The sequence below is a fragment of the Homo sapiens genome, chromosome 20 (assembly GCF_000001405.40).
Source record: "Homo sapiens chromosome 20, GRCh38.p14 Primary Assembly".
Classification (NCBI taxonomy): Eukaryota; Metazoa; Chordata; class Mammalia; order Primates; family Hominidae; genus Homo; species Homo sapiens.
The window spans coordinates 14,750,286-14,764,996 of NC_000020.11; the positions used below are offsets into that span (position 1 = coordinate 14,750,286).

General features: G+C 38.6%; 1 protein-coding gene and 1 pseudogene across 3 annotated transcripts in view; both read left to right on the top strand.

Annotated features, from left to right (window-relative positions):
- Positions 1-14,711, top strand: part of MACROD2 (mono-ADP ribosylhydrolase 2) — a 2,057,682-nt gene that overhangs the window by 754,770 nt on the left and 1,288,201 nt on the right. The gene's annotated exons all lie outside the window — the stretch shown is intronic.
- On the top strand, positions 7,248-7,823 carry RPS10P2 (ribosomal protein S10 pseudogene 2; annotated as a pseudogene).

The window sequence follows — 14,711 nt, forward strand, 5'->3', positions numbered from 1 at the left end:
TATTCACTTTTTCAAAGTTAGTTAAAACAGTGTTGATGTTTCTCTGAATATTGTCATGTTTCATAAAAACGTTAATCTTCAGTAATTTACATTTATTAGAATAATAGTGTAAAACATGTTATTTACGATCATTAAAAGTTAGAGTGTTCTAACCAATTATTACTATTTATTGTTGTTATTATTATTATTAGTTTGAGACAGGATCTCACTTTGTCATCCCAGCTCAAGTGCAGTGGCACAATCTGCTTACTGCAATCTCTGCCTCCTGGGCGCAAGTGATCTGCTCACCTTAGCCTCCTGAGTAACTGGGACTACAGGTGCATGCCACCACACCCAAATAATTTTTGTATTTTTTGTAGAGATGGGGTTTTGCCATGTTGCCCAGGCTGGTGTTGAACTCCTGGGCTCAAGTGATCTACCCAACTCAGCCTCCCAAATGCTGGGATTACGAGTGTGAGCCACCATGCCTGGCCGTAACCAATTATTTTAATTAATATAAATAATCAGAGTATAACAAAATACACCAAAACTGGTTATATTATCTTTATAAAATATGTTTTATAAATCACTAACAAATAACTAATCTGGTTGGTGATAAATATGTCTGCTTTTACTTATTCCTCTCCATTTTAGTATTGTAATTTTTTAGCATTCTATACTAGATCCCATGTACAGTTGAAGTTTTCTTTTGTTTGTTTTCCCTGTCAGGCTTTTAATTAAAGAATAATAAGATCTTATATTATTATAGATCTTATATCGCTTATATAACTAAAGAGTACATTCAACCAAACTTTAACTGAACTTTACTTGTTTCATACTGGTGGAAATAAGCACAATGTGAATAACACCTGAGACTGTCACTGGTGGAGAGCGCTCATGAGCCCAGCCCTCCTTGGGCTTCCTTACTGGCCTCCCAGCCCCACCCTTGGCCTGTGCCATCCTTAATGTGAAATCCCATTACACCTTACCTAATCTCTCAAATGGCACCTATCAGATCTTCTCTTTTATTCTTGAGTATTCAGTTCCTCCCTTTTTTTTTTGATCTTTCTAACTGACATGTTTACAGCCATTTAAGACACACAGCACATGTACACATGTAACTTCCCTCAAATCCATGTGCTTCTTCCATTACTCTGTCTCTTTTCTTCTTTGCATAGCAAAACTGATCTGTACCAATTAGTGACCGACATCCTTAATCTAGCAGACAGGTTTTAGTCTAGTTTTCTATTGTCCAGATGATGTTGCATAATCAACAATGTCAAACTTCAGGGGCAAACAATTCTGAAGTTAAATAAAGCACTGCCTAGTTCTTGTACCTGTGAGTTCGCTCCACCCTTGGGCTCTGCCCTGCTGTCTCTATTTCTTCTGGAACTCAATGGCTAGACAGGCGTGTCCTTCTCATGGGAAGAGCAGAAGCACAAGAGGGCAAGTGGAAATGCTCAGATCCTACATGCCATCAATTTTTCCTTTTTCTTTTGGCTAAAACAAGTCACTTGAACAAAAGAAACTATACTCCACTGATTTTTGTGGGTGAAACTGCAAAGTCACACAGTAAAGAATGTGGATATATGAAGAGGGGAAGAACTGGGGCCAAGAACATCATCTACCATAATAATCTTACCTACCTTTGGAGTAGCAATGAGTACTATAGGCTTTTGCCTTCTTTAGGAAATACCCTCTTCCTGTGGCTTCCATAATGAAACATTGTCTTGATTTCCTCCCATCCCTCTGGCTGCCTTTGTTTAGTTTCCTTTGCTGGTCCAGCTTTCTCAAGACCTGGTACCACCATCTCCTCATCTTTTTTTTTTTTTTTTTTTAATATGGCCTCTCTACTTAGTGTTATCCATGATTCTGGAACTCATTGCCACCCAAATAAAGCTGAAGCAGAGATGCTTAAATTGTTCCCTTAGTTTCAAAACCATATATTTAATTACCTATTTTATATTTCTTCCAAGATGTTTCAAAGACACCTCAGACTCAACTTAAGCCTAAATTTAAATTTAAAACATTTATAATTATTCCCTCTTGTACCCCCAGACTTCTTCAGTGCTCCCTAGCTCAGTGAATCCTACTACATCCATTGAGTTATAGAAGCCAAAAAAAAATAAGACTCATCCTCAACACTTCTTTTCTCATTAAGCTCTATTGATTTTATTGCCTAAATAGTCCTGGAATGTATCTGCTTCTTTCTGTCACTGTGGTTTCTCCCTAGTCTAATCCACCATTCTCTCTCACCTGTAGCATTGTATTATCTTCTGAACCTCATCTCCTTTTGCCCCCATCTGATCTGTTCTCTGCATTGGAGCCAGAAAAATCTTATTGAAAAGCACATCTAATAATGTCTCCTTCCTTTTAAAATACTTCGAGGACTTTCCATTGAATGGATAGAGGTAAAATGCCTGACAGACCTATATGCATTTTTGTCCCTGTCTCATGCCATGCTTAACCGTATTACTTTGCAGTTCCGCAAAAAACATATCATGAGACACAGATTTTGTAGGGCATTTATTTGGAATATGAGGCCAGGAAGTAGGAGTGAGGGAATAAGGAGAATGAGGAAAAAACAAAATAACACAAGCAAAAGCCATTGTAAGAGTGTATGATTGAGTTTGCCTCTCTAGGGAACGGTGGTCTGATTTCATAGCACATCTAGAAAGTCTGCAGATTAGGACCCATAATTATATGCCTGAAGAATAAGCACCTAGTTGCATATATCCACTGGCTCCCCATTGTTTGAGGGTTGCACTCACTTGTGTTTAGCTCCCCTGCATTTCAGAGCCAGACACGTGCACATCCTCCCTGTCTTTGCCTAGTTAACTCCTATTTATTTTTCTGAACCCACCTCATTCCTGTGACAGAAAACCCCTGCCTCTAAATGAAGCAGGTTCTTCCAGTTTTCTCAAGACCACATGCCTCTACTATACACCATATATATCTTCTTTGCAGTGCTGATTGCTGTGATGAGTTTGCATTTTTTAATGATTATTTCATGAAAATCTTTCTGCCCTCTGGACTGCAAGCTTGAGAAGACCAAGTTTCATGTCAGCTTTTGATTTTCATTGCCTTACCAGCACCCAACCTAGGACCTGGTACATAAAATATGTTCAATATATTTTCAACAAATGTGTAAGTATAGGTGTGTGTGTATTAATATGTGTGCATGCATGTATATTTATAAAGGGAAACTTTGAATTTTTAGAGCTTAAATAGATTACTATCAATATCTAAAAAGGTTATCATTTTTAATTCAAATTTCATATTCTATTTTTACTTATTGCTTTCTTTTAGTGCTTACATAGTCGAATTATACCAGAGGCATCTGTTTAAAAAAAGTCATACGGAGAAAAAACAGAGAACTCTTGCTTTACATTATCATGATTTATCTGACAGCTTATAGTATTGGTGGCACTTTTCTGTAGAAAGTTATCGCTAGGCAGTTGCTTTAATAAAACAGAGATTTTTGAGTTAAAATGGGTAATATCAGACCATAAAAGACAATCCTTTACAATCCTGCCTTATTCAGTAGAAGTCACATTCGTTAGTGTTGAGCAATTTGAGGACTTAGGTACTTACAAATATATATATATATCCATCCCCTAAAACACCATGTCCAAATTTTTGTTTCATGAACTGGGAACTGTGACTTGATAACAGGAAATATGTGGCAAAAATAGATGAGTGTTCAGTCTCTGGGGTTTTATGCTGATATAAAATAATAACAACCAAAATGGGAATGGAGAGGCAGATGGAAATCAACAAATTATTTTTAATGAAGTAAAATACTTCCATAAAAGTAAGCTACCAGTTGGAAGTTATCACTATTTAATAAATGTTTTTTATATTTCTAGTTACCATGTTGTATGCCAGATGATCCAGCATTAATTCAACAAATAATATGGTACCCTTGGCAAATAGAATGGTCATCATGGAGATGGACATAGTCTCCACCTTCACCGGGATGGTTGTTATTGCTTTATTTAAAAATGCAGTTATTTTCTCTGAAAACATCTATACAGATCTATCATGTCCTGAGCTTTTTCTAATTTCTTGGAAGGGAAGCCAAAGTAGCATGCATCTAATTCAGTCTCAGACCTCAGCTTCCAAGAGATGTTATTAACTGTGGTGAAAGGATTAGTAAAATAGTAAATGGATTATGAGATAGTTGTATCTGTGTCAATTAGTGGTTGCTGTCAATTACTAGTTGCTTATATTCACTTTCTCTCATTTAGGGAGTGTGGAGAGTAGAATATTAAATGTCTGGTGGGCACAGAGTCTCTTTTCATCTGGTAGTTGTCTTAGTTATACACGGGGCTATAAACTGAAAATGGTGTGTAACCCTTTAATTGAAGACTCTGGGGTCCTAAAATAATTTCCTCAAGAACACTCTGGCCCATAGAATAAACATTTTGAAAAATATTTTCTTTGGTTTATTGCATATTTGAAATCAGATAATATCTGTCACTCCAGGATCTATAAACTCTTGCATGTGGGATATTTTTAGGTAAAGTGATTTTTTTTTTTTTTTGAGGAATACCAAGGGGATAGTGGATTTCCATGAACTTAAGGATCACAGTTTTTGTTAAGCCGAATACCCAACTTGAACAAATTTTCTATTTTTTTGTTGTTGCTTATTGACAGATGTGCCATGAAGGTGTTTTTAAGGTCTCATGACCCTAAAAATGGCTTACGATAAGCAAAAGTAATGTCAGCTTTGTCCTGAGGGGATCTTGATTCACTTATCAGCTGAAAACAGCTGAGCAATCAAAGCACAGGTTCTTCCTTGGTGGAAGTGACAACTCTAGTTCAGAATCTTCCAATCTGAATCTAAGATCATCCTTAGAAATTAGGGTGGGTGGAGAAACCAGAGTGATGTGTGCTGGAGCCAATACTCCATCAGAGTGGGAGAGTCCACTCTTTCCTGTTGCTTTCCCCACTCAGGCCTTGGGCTATTTTAGATGAGGTCACCTTAGCCATGTTCTCACCACTCCAGCTTTGGGCCATCTCTGATGAGTTCACCTCAGCCATGTTCTCATCATTCCTCCTCTGGGGCATTTCGGATGAGGTTACCATGGTGGGCACATTTCTTGCCTCATGTACTTTAGAATGCCATGTATGCTTTTAAAATCAGAGACAAGTGCCTAACAACTTCTTATTTATATGTTTTTAGGTTAGATGTAAAATGACCTGAGAACTGCAGCCCTCATGAGCATTGGCTACGTGAATTTTTGATTAATAAAGTCTAGTAAATTCATTGACTATATAGCCTTATCTACCAAGAAAAGATAACTTAATTTTTGAAAGGATTACTTAGCTTGCTTTGGAGAGGGTCAAAATTTAGTAGAAGGTGTGTCAAATGAACATTATTGCTGAAGTAAGTCTGAAAAATTCAAAACTGTTGATGGTGAGAACTGAAGTGTTTATTATATTACCCTGGGTACTTTTCTATGTCTATTTTCCTTTGGAGGAAAACATAGTTCTAAGAATCTAGGAGGCCTGTGGATGTATGAAATTAAGAGGAAATAAATATTCTATCAATAGGAAGAACTTCAAGAAAACCCAAATTGTCCATATTCTGAACATAACATTTGTTATATGTGTTATACTCAATTTAGTTGCTTTTGTTTATCTGAGATTTCTGTAGCTTTCAAAACTGATCTCTTAAGATTTACTAGTAATGTGAGTTATTAAGGGGGGCAAAATTTCATTAATTCATTCTGTTTTCTAAATACTTTCCCTTATCCTTGCCTCTCTCATGCAGTCTTTCATTGTTTCTCTCCCATTTATTTTACAAGAAAATAAAAAATCTTACTGAGACTTTTAGGCCTTACATGATTTGGCATCTCCAGTGACCAGAAACATCTCCTGTCTCACCATTGCTTACTAAACTCCGTGGCTTCCATCAATTCCTAAATTATGTCAAGCTTTTTTTTCATATCTGAATCTTGCTTTCTGTTCCCTCTTTCTAGGTTACTTTTTATGTATGTTACTCCTTCTTCTGGTCTGAGCTTAATCATGTCCCCTCCTCAGAATAGTATTGTCTGACCACTTTTCTAAATTCAACATTTCATCTTATTTTTCTCACAGCATCTGTTTATTGTCTTCATTGCATTTGACATAATTTATGATTTGTAAAAATGTGTTGGCTTTTCTCCTTAGGTAGTGAGCTTCATGACAGTAGGAACCTTATGTATCCTGATTATTAATTATATCCCTGGTACTAATAGTTAGTTTGACATATGGGAGGTTATCACAAAAATTATAATGTATGAATTTCAACTGTAAATTGGAAGCTTGTCAAGCCCCTTCATGGTTAGTGACTGACCTGTTTTCCTCAATCTTGATCTAATGAGGCTTTAGACTACTGCTCCTAGCTTTATGAAAATATTTCTAACAAATACCATGAGAACAAAAAAAGACAATGTTTAAATTCTGAATCTTGACAATGTTATACTCTTTTATAAGTGATATGCTTTGGCTCTGTGTCCCCACTCAGATATCACCTTAAATTGTAATAATCCCACGTGTCAACGGTGGGACCAGGTGGAGATAATGTTTCCCCCATACTGTTCTCGTGATAGTGAGTGAGTTCTCGTGGGATCTGACGGTCTTATAAGGGGCTTCCCCTTGGCTCTTTTCTCATTCTTCTCTCTCCTGCCACCATGTGAAGAATGACATGTTTGCTTCCCTTTCCACCATGACTGTAAGTTTCCTGAGGCCTCCCCAGCCATGCAGAAGTCAATTAAACTTCTTTCCATTATAAATTACCCAATCTCAGATATTTCTTCATAGCCGCATGAGAATGGACTAATATAATGTTTATTGCAAAAGATGACATTTTTGAATTAAATATCTGAAAGAAAATAAAGGTGTCTTGTAGAGTTTTGTTTCCTTCATTTGTTATCCTAACATAATAGAAATAAAGAAGTAATACAAAGTTTTAGGAAAACATAGCAAATGAATAATACAGTTATGACTTTAAAAGGAAATCACTTTCAGTAACAGTAAATTAAAATCTTAATTATTATATTTCACTTCTCTATAGCAAATTGAAAAACAAAACAAGCACTGTGAAACAAATTAGAAATTCAGTCGTAATACTCTCAAATGTACTAAGGAATTTAGAAGAGTAAATTTCATTTAGTTTCAAAAGATTAAAAAGTACAACTTTGGACAATAACGTTATTTTTCTTAGGTAGGCATTAAAGAAAATAGATCCCATATGTCTCTTTTTAAAAGACTGTATCTAGGCCCTGGCCCCGGACCCTACAGCCATCAAGATGTTGATGCCTAAGAAGAACCAGATTGCCATTTATGACTCCTTTTTAAGGAGGGAGTCATGGTGGCCAAGGACATCCACATGCCTAAGCACCTGGAGCTGTCAGACAAGAATGTGTCCAACCTTCCTGTCATAAAGGCCATGCAGTCTCTCAAGTCCCGAGGCTACGTGAAGGCACAGTTTGCCTGGAGACATTTCTACTGGTACCTTCCCAATGAGGGTATCCAGTATCTCCGTGATTACCTTCATCTGCCCCCGGAGATTGTGCCTGCCACTCTATGCCGTAGCCGTCCAGGGACTGGCAGGCCTCGGCCTAAAGGTCTGAAGGGTGAGTGACCTGCAAGACTCACAAGAGGGAAAGCCGACAGAGATACCTACAGACGGAGTGCTGTGCCCCCTGGTGCCGACAAGAAAGCCGAGGCTGGGACTGGGTCAGCAACTGAATTCCAGTTTAGAGGCGAATTTGGTCATGGACATGGTCGGCCACCTCAATAAATTTGGAGAGGGTTATTTTGCATTGTATAAACATCCAGCCAAAAAAGCTTAAAAAAAAAAAAGAAAAAATCTAAACCCTCACTGATTTCAGATTTATTAAAAAAATAAACACAGGTAATTTCCATTTTCTAGTGTCTCCTTTGCTGCGTATTTCTTTTGTTTAACCAGAAGATCACTTGTGCCACTAGATTTATAGAATATTAAGTGTTACTCACTTCAGTATTTGTAATGTCATTATCCATTTTAGGATAATTTCAACATTTGTTTATTCTGGAAAGCAGAAGTAATCTGCATTCAGATACAATGGCAATTCCATGCCCAGAATGCTTCCCTGAGCTTCACGGCTTATTAAAGCATGCAGTCCTGTATTTCCACAGCCATACTAAGTAGCTGGATTCAGGCCTGTGAATTTGGTAATGCTCAGTACATTTCAAAACGTGGACTGGGATTGAATATTTAGGTAAGATTGACTTAAAGATAATTAGTTCATATATTATAACAGATGCTTTAAAGGAGTTTGTGACTGAGCAAATCCACTGGGGGACCCATGCACTGTACAGCATTTTAATAGCTTCCCATGGAGCTGGTTTTTATCCAGCTAGGCTTTAGTGTGCTGCCATCTCCTTGTGTGGAGAGGATTTGAGTCTCACTGTGGATCCTATCATTGGAATTACTCTAAGAATATCATAGAAAATACTGAGGATCTCTTTAGGATTTCAGTATCAGAGATACTTGTTCTCATCCTTAGATAAGTACTATTAAAGTAGTTTTTATTAGGTAAACACTGCAAATCTTGAAATTGATCATTTTTTTCTCTCTTTAGGTTGGCTTCTATAACTCTAAGAACCAAATATGGGGGCCCACTTATAATTGCAGTATTTCATGGCATGTATCTCTGTATGAATCCACCTATGCTCTCCATCTTACTCTCCTTTTTCTATCTCCTTTTTCAAGTTCATATTCAATTCATTGTACCTTGCTTAATTATATGCTTTCTGTTAAGCTGACTTGCGTGCCTTTTTGAAATGAGGTAGATTATTAATTCATTAATTACTGTATAGATTGCTTTTCTGGCTCATTGTAATTTTCAAGTCATTAGCACAACAGGAGAATTTATAAGGTATTTTTGATATGCCATTAGACGTATCAAAACTAGACATTGGGAAGGTCTTACACTCTTCATATGCTTATGTACCTTATATTTGAGTTAATTTTCTTAAATAATTTCTACTACATAGGAAGCTGCTGAAAAATTTTAAAGAGTATTTGATAGCATAACTAATCTAGTACAAAAATTAATTAATAATCTTGGAAAAGACATCATTAATGTTTAGGTAGATATTCCATGCCATCATTTGCATAACAATATCACATTATGCTTTATCTTCATATTCAAAGAGTTTTCAACATACAAAGAGATTCTATTATAAAGGTGTATTTATAAGTTAGTCATTTAGAATGCAGAGTTCATTTTCATGAACAATCAAGTTTCTAAATGACAGCTAGGTTAGCCCATAAAACCTGTTTTGCCCATAGTATATAAGAAATAATTTTAATTTACAGTGACAAATTACAGAAAATATTATTTTACATCTTAAAATAGAAATAAAAGCACAAAAATTACCTTATTTTAATTTTGAAGGCTAAGACAAAAATGGTATAATTAGGAAATCAGGACGTAGATACGCAGGTTCTTGTAGATGCTGGAGAGAAATTCTGGGTATCTTTAAAGGGAGGAGGATTTATTGTACTGTGTGATTTCACTCCACTGTATATTAGTTGTCCCTTCTTTTTATAAATATATCATTAATGGTAGGTGCTTTTCTGATTATCAAGGAGGATTAAGTTCCCTTTCAACTTAAAAATTAAATGAGTAACAGAGGAGAGGAGCAGCAAAAGACAGAGTAAGTGAATTGGTATTCCTGAGATAAACAGATGGGAGCTGGAGCAGAGGCATCTGAGTAAGGGAAGTGCTTACCTGGGCATTGGACATGGGAGAGATTTTCTGAGGTGGCTCTAAATGAGCCATAAACTGCTGAAATCATGAGGGTAGAGAGGATTCATGTGTTGCACAGAACTCCCAAGGGGAAAATAACAACTGCAGATGAAGGGATATGGATCACACAGGTCCCCACGTTTCCTGTCGGGCTGGGGGCAGGGTGGAGTGAGGGCAGGGAGGGATCCCGCGTAGATGGCAAGTTCTTTATTTCCAGGTGGTGGCAAGCTGGGTGTTTGCAATCTTGGAAGTGCTTATACTTATAAAACTTTCACTTACTCTGGGGGTATCTGATACTATAAGCATACAGAAATGATGCAGAATTTTATTTTAAGTATAAAGTTCTGAGCCTGGGGCCAGGTACATAGGAAAGTATTAATTAATTTTAGTTCTTATTATTTTCTGGCATTTAATACAATTGTCAGTGGAAGTTATTAATACTCACTATTTATTATTACTGAACACAGTCCTCTAAATCATGAGTTAAGTAAATCTAAAACAAAATACAGAGTACTGTTTCCCCATCACTCTGCCCCAGCTCCATTTAGGACCTTGTTCCCTAACATGCACCATCCACCAGGCCTTTTGGTTCTTTTTAACCTTTTAGTTTCCCTTCCTTCACATTATTCTGAGTTATCTGCTATCCCTCCCAGAAAGTGAACATATGCCCTTTAATTACTCTGCCTCCATTCAACGTTTTGAACCTTTCCTCTTCTTCCCTTTACCAGCCAACAACTACAAACTTAGGTCTCCACTTATTATTGTCACATTTTTACTAGCAATTTACAACCTCAGCTGTTCAAAATCGAGCCCTGATTCGTCAACGTTACTGAAACTGCTATTATGGAAGTGACCAAAACTCTCCTTTGTGCAGAATTTAATAGTCTTTTCTCTGTTCTTGTTCTCTTTGATTTTTTTGCAGTATTGCAGTATCGAGGCTGTTAGCCACCTTCTTCTGGAGCTCCTCCTCATTGTTTCTCTGAGACCTCCTCATCGCACAGCTCAGTCTATTGAAATCTTGCCCTTTCAGGTTCCATCTTAGATGCCTCCTCCTTATTGGACCCTTCCTGATTCTCCCAGCTGCCCTCAATACCATTTTGTCTTTGCCTCTATTGGAAAGTCTGTTTTCATCTTTGACATATAGATATTTGGGTATTGTTAAGATCTCTGCTCTGGATTCTGAGAATGAGGTTCTTGGGAATAGGAAATTGCCTTACATTTACTTACTGAGTAAATTCCCAATCAACAGTTGCTGAGGACTGGCTTTCTTTCTCCATGCAACCTCCTGAAACATTGCCATTGCTGTACATTATTAATATTTGAGTCACGATATCTATACCTGAGGTTTAAAAGCTGACGAATTGCTCATTTGATTGCCAGCATCATACCCCGACTGGTGAGTGTGCTCCATTTTTGGTGAACACAGAATTTTATACATTTATTTCAGTGAGTTTACTGCCCCTTCCTTCAAAGTAGTTCTCACCTAAACTTGTTTTTTATTCCCAAGATCCTTATTATGAAATAGCTGTTTCAGCTCACTGGTATGCGAGAGCAAGTCTAATAGCACTGAATCCTGACACTGGTTCTGTGTTCCAGCTCTCACTGGTTCCTCTCCTGGGGTGCTTTTTCTCTGACTGCTTTTTTAAGGCCACCAATCTGAAATGCAGTTTCCATTTGACAGAGCTGTAGATGAGCTTACTCTGAAAACACACTACTTGCCCTTGGGTCTAAGGTGCTCATTTGTAGTCCCCGCACATAAACCTAGGAGCTCCTTACTTTGCAATCTGCAGGTGCTCAGCCTATTGCATATTGGAAAGAAATGTTGTCAACAATGAAAACAAGTCAGTAAATACTTAGGCATTTTCTCACTAGTAAATTGCTGCAATCTGAATCATCACCATGTTCTCCCAATTCTTTTCCCATTCCATACTAGGTAGATTTATGTGACATCCCTGAATATGGCTTCTGCTGGTGGCTGCTACCTGAGGTCTGTTCTCCTGCCACCCTCTCCGCTCAGGGCCTCGGCTGGTTCACATGGCCTCCTGCTGGTGAGGCTGATCACTTCCTTGCCTGGGACCCTTATTAACTCTGCAAGGTATCCACAGCCTTCCCCAAGAGAGATTGGCAGTCACTTTTATGCCCGCCAGGGTCTGTGTCATGCTTTCAGCACAACCCTCCACTTATTCCGTCATGTAGCATATTAGGGATTCCCTCCTCTCGAACTTATCTCCTCTCAAGTGTCTATACAAGCTAAGAAGACTTACTCAGGAGTGGGGTCATGGTGTCTCTTCACTGAGTGACAGATTCTTCTTTCTCAGCTCCTTTGAAATAGATAAGAGCTAGTAGTACTGACTCAATTTATAAGATGGCAAAAAACTAAGTAAATAAAACCATGCCAAATCAAAAACAAAAATAAAACCCACCTACCCTGATGTCTTTTAAAGAAGCCTTTTGATCATAGGATTGGACATTCTCTCACTTACTTACTGAGCATTTATTTCTCAGGTGTCTACTTAGGGTAAACTCCGCAAAAGTTCCTGGTAATGCTTTGCCTATGTCAGTGTGGAACTTGGCCTATTAAATGACAGGCAGACAGGCCAGGTGCAGTGGCTCATGCCTGTAATCCTGGCACTTTGGGAGGCTGAGGTGGGTAGATTGCTTGAGGCCAGGAGTTTGAGACCAGCCTGTGCAACATGACGAAACTCTGTCTCTACTGAAAATGCAAAAATTAGCCAGATGTGGCTGTGGGCATCTGTAGTCCCAGCTACTGGGGAGGCTGAGGCACAAAAACTGCTTGAACCCAGGAGGTAGAGGTTGCGGTGAGCTGAGATTGCGCCACTGCACTCCAGCATGGGAGACAGAGCAAGATTCCGTCTCAAAAAACAAACAAACAAACAAACAAAAAACATAAATGACAGACAGGTAAGCTAAGCACAGAACAATGTCAGAGTGCAGTTACCATCGAGAGCAGGAAAATAACAGAGAACAGAGAAAGGGGGAAATGAGCTTCACAGGATGGGGTTAGGACCAAAGAAAGTGATCCAGGAAGTGGATGTTAAGGAATGAATGAAAATGCAGAGAAAAGGATGTAAAGGAGATCTTTGTGATATTTATGCAAGTCTTCTGTATTTTCAAAACTCCTTCTAAATAAAAAGTTACCACCTCACCAGGCCAATAAAGAGGAAGCTAAGAGAAAGGTATTCACAACATACAGTATGCAAAAAAACTTGTCGCTCATTTGGTGTTACTAGACCTTCAGAGTCACGGGGAAACCCTGGAGACAAAGCTGGTGTACATGCAGTTGAATCTGGATGGATTTGGATTTCTAAAAGGGAAAGACAGAAGAGTTCTAATTAATGGAATGGAATGATGTGATTTTCTTTTTAGAAAAGTTTCTCTCTGTGACTTTGTGGAAAATAGGTAAGAGGTCAGGGATGCATGTGAAGGGACCGTGATCTAGGTGAAAAGTGATGGAAATCTGTATCAAGGAGGTGGCAATATGACTGACAGTAAAAGAAGAAGTTCTTGAGATACTTAGAAGATGGAATTAATAGGGCTTAGTCACTGATGGGATTTAAGAGAGAAGGAAAAGGATTTAAAGATTTAGACTTATCTGGCCAGAGTGATTCAAATTCATAGAAAAAGTAACCTGTGAGAAGGAGCAGGTTAAAAGGAAGAGGAAGGGAACCACTTCTGTTTTGAGCAGCCTGAATCTGCACTGCCTATCGGATAGCTGAGAGACGGTGTCTAGTGGCAGCTGTACATCTAAAACCCGGACTTGGGGGAAAGATCACAATATAACTTAGAGATATAGATTTGAAAGTCATTAATAGATTTAGACTGTCTTACCCTGGAATCCATGAATAGTCCTAAGGGGTTCACAAACCTCAGATATATGTATATACTTTCCCCTTGGGCTAAGGATCTGCACTGAGTATTTCCAGTTGCCTTATCCCACATGCATATATGTGCATGAGATCACTTATATCCCTTCTCTGTCCTATGTCTATCTATGTCCCCAAGAGGCTGATGTGTTTGCTGGCATTACCCGACTCCCTTGCCATTTCTTATGGTGAGGCATTGGCAGGAGATGAGAGGGAAGGAGAAGGAAAAGGTTGGGATATTCTTTTCCCGCCTTCCCCACATTGGGTCCCATTTCTGGCAGAGGCTGTATTCCTCCAGGACTATGGTCCTGTCCAGAGTCCCCTCCTTCATGGAGCCAGCACTCCCAAGCCTGCAGTAACACAAGGCCTTCAGTCCCAGCGGGTCCCACTTTTTGCTCTTGCCGTCCTCTTGGTGATTTGACATGCTTTTCCAGTTGCCTGAAACCTGCCCATACATCATGAGGAGTCCCTTCATTATGGTCTTTGTACCATCTGAGGTGGATTGTTTCTTGCCAGATTCCATGTGTCTTTTTTTGGTGCTCTAGTATACACTTGTGGGAGAAAAAAACTCTTACAAGCTATGGGGACGGCTGACCACACCCACAGATTGTGGCCCGTAAACTACCTGTGAGGACCAGCAAGTACCTTCATGGATCCTTATTTACCCTAAAACAGTTTCTAAAATCTTAGTGACAAGAAGTTGTTACCAGACATCCCAGGTGAAACTGCACCCAGTGAGTATTGTACCAAATTCCTAGGACTGGCCTCAAGTACTGCTGAGCTTAGAAGGGGAAGAGAATGTGAGAGTTCAGAATCTATGAATGTGTCCAGCATAAAGAGGGCTGAATGTTACAGTGATGCCTTCAATCTAACCTGAATGTTCTTCTTGTATTTTTGATATTTATTTTTTTTCTCCACTTTTTGAGGTGGAGAGGGGGATCAGGATGGATGGAATATTTGATAGACAAGGAACCCAGGAATTTCTCCACCCTGTCCAGCTAAAACTATACTGCTTGGCAGAGTTCCCAAGACGGCACTGTGCAAACAATGGCAGTGAACT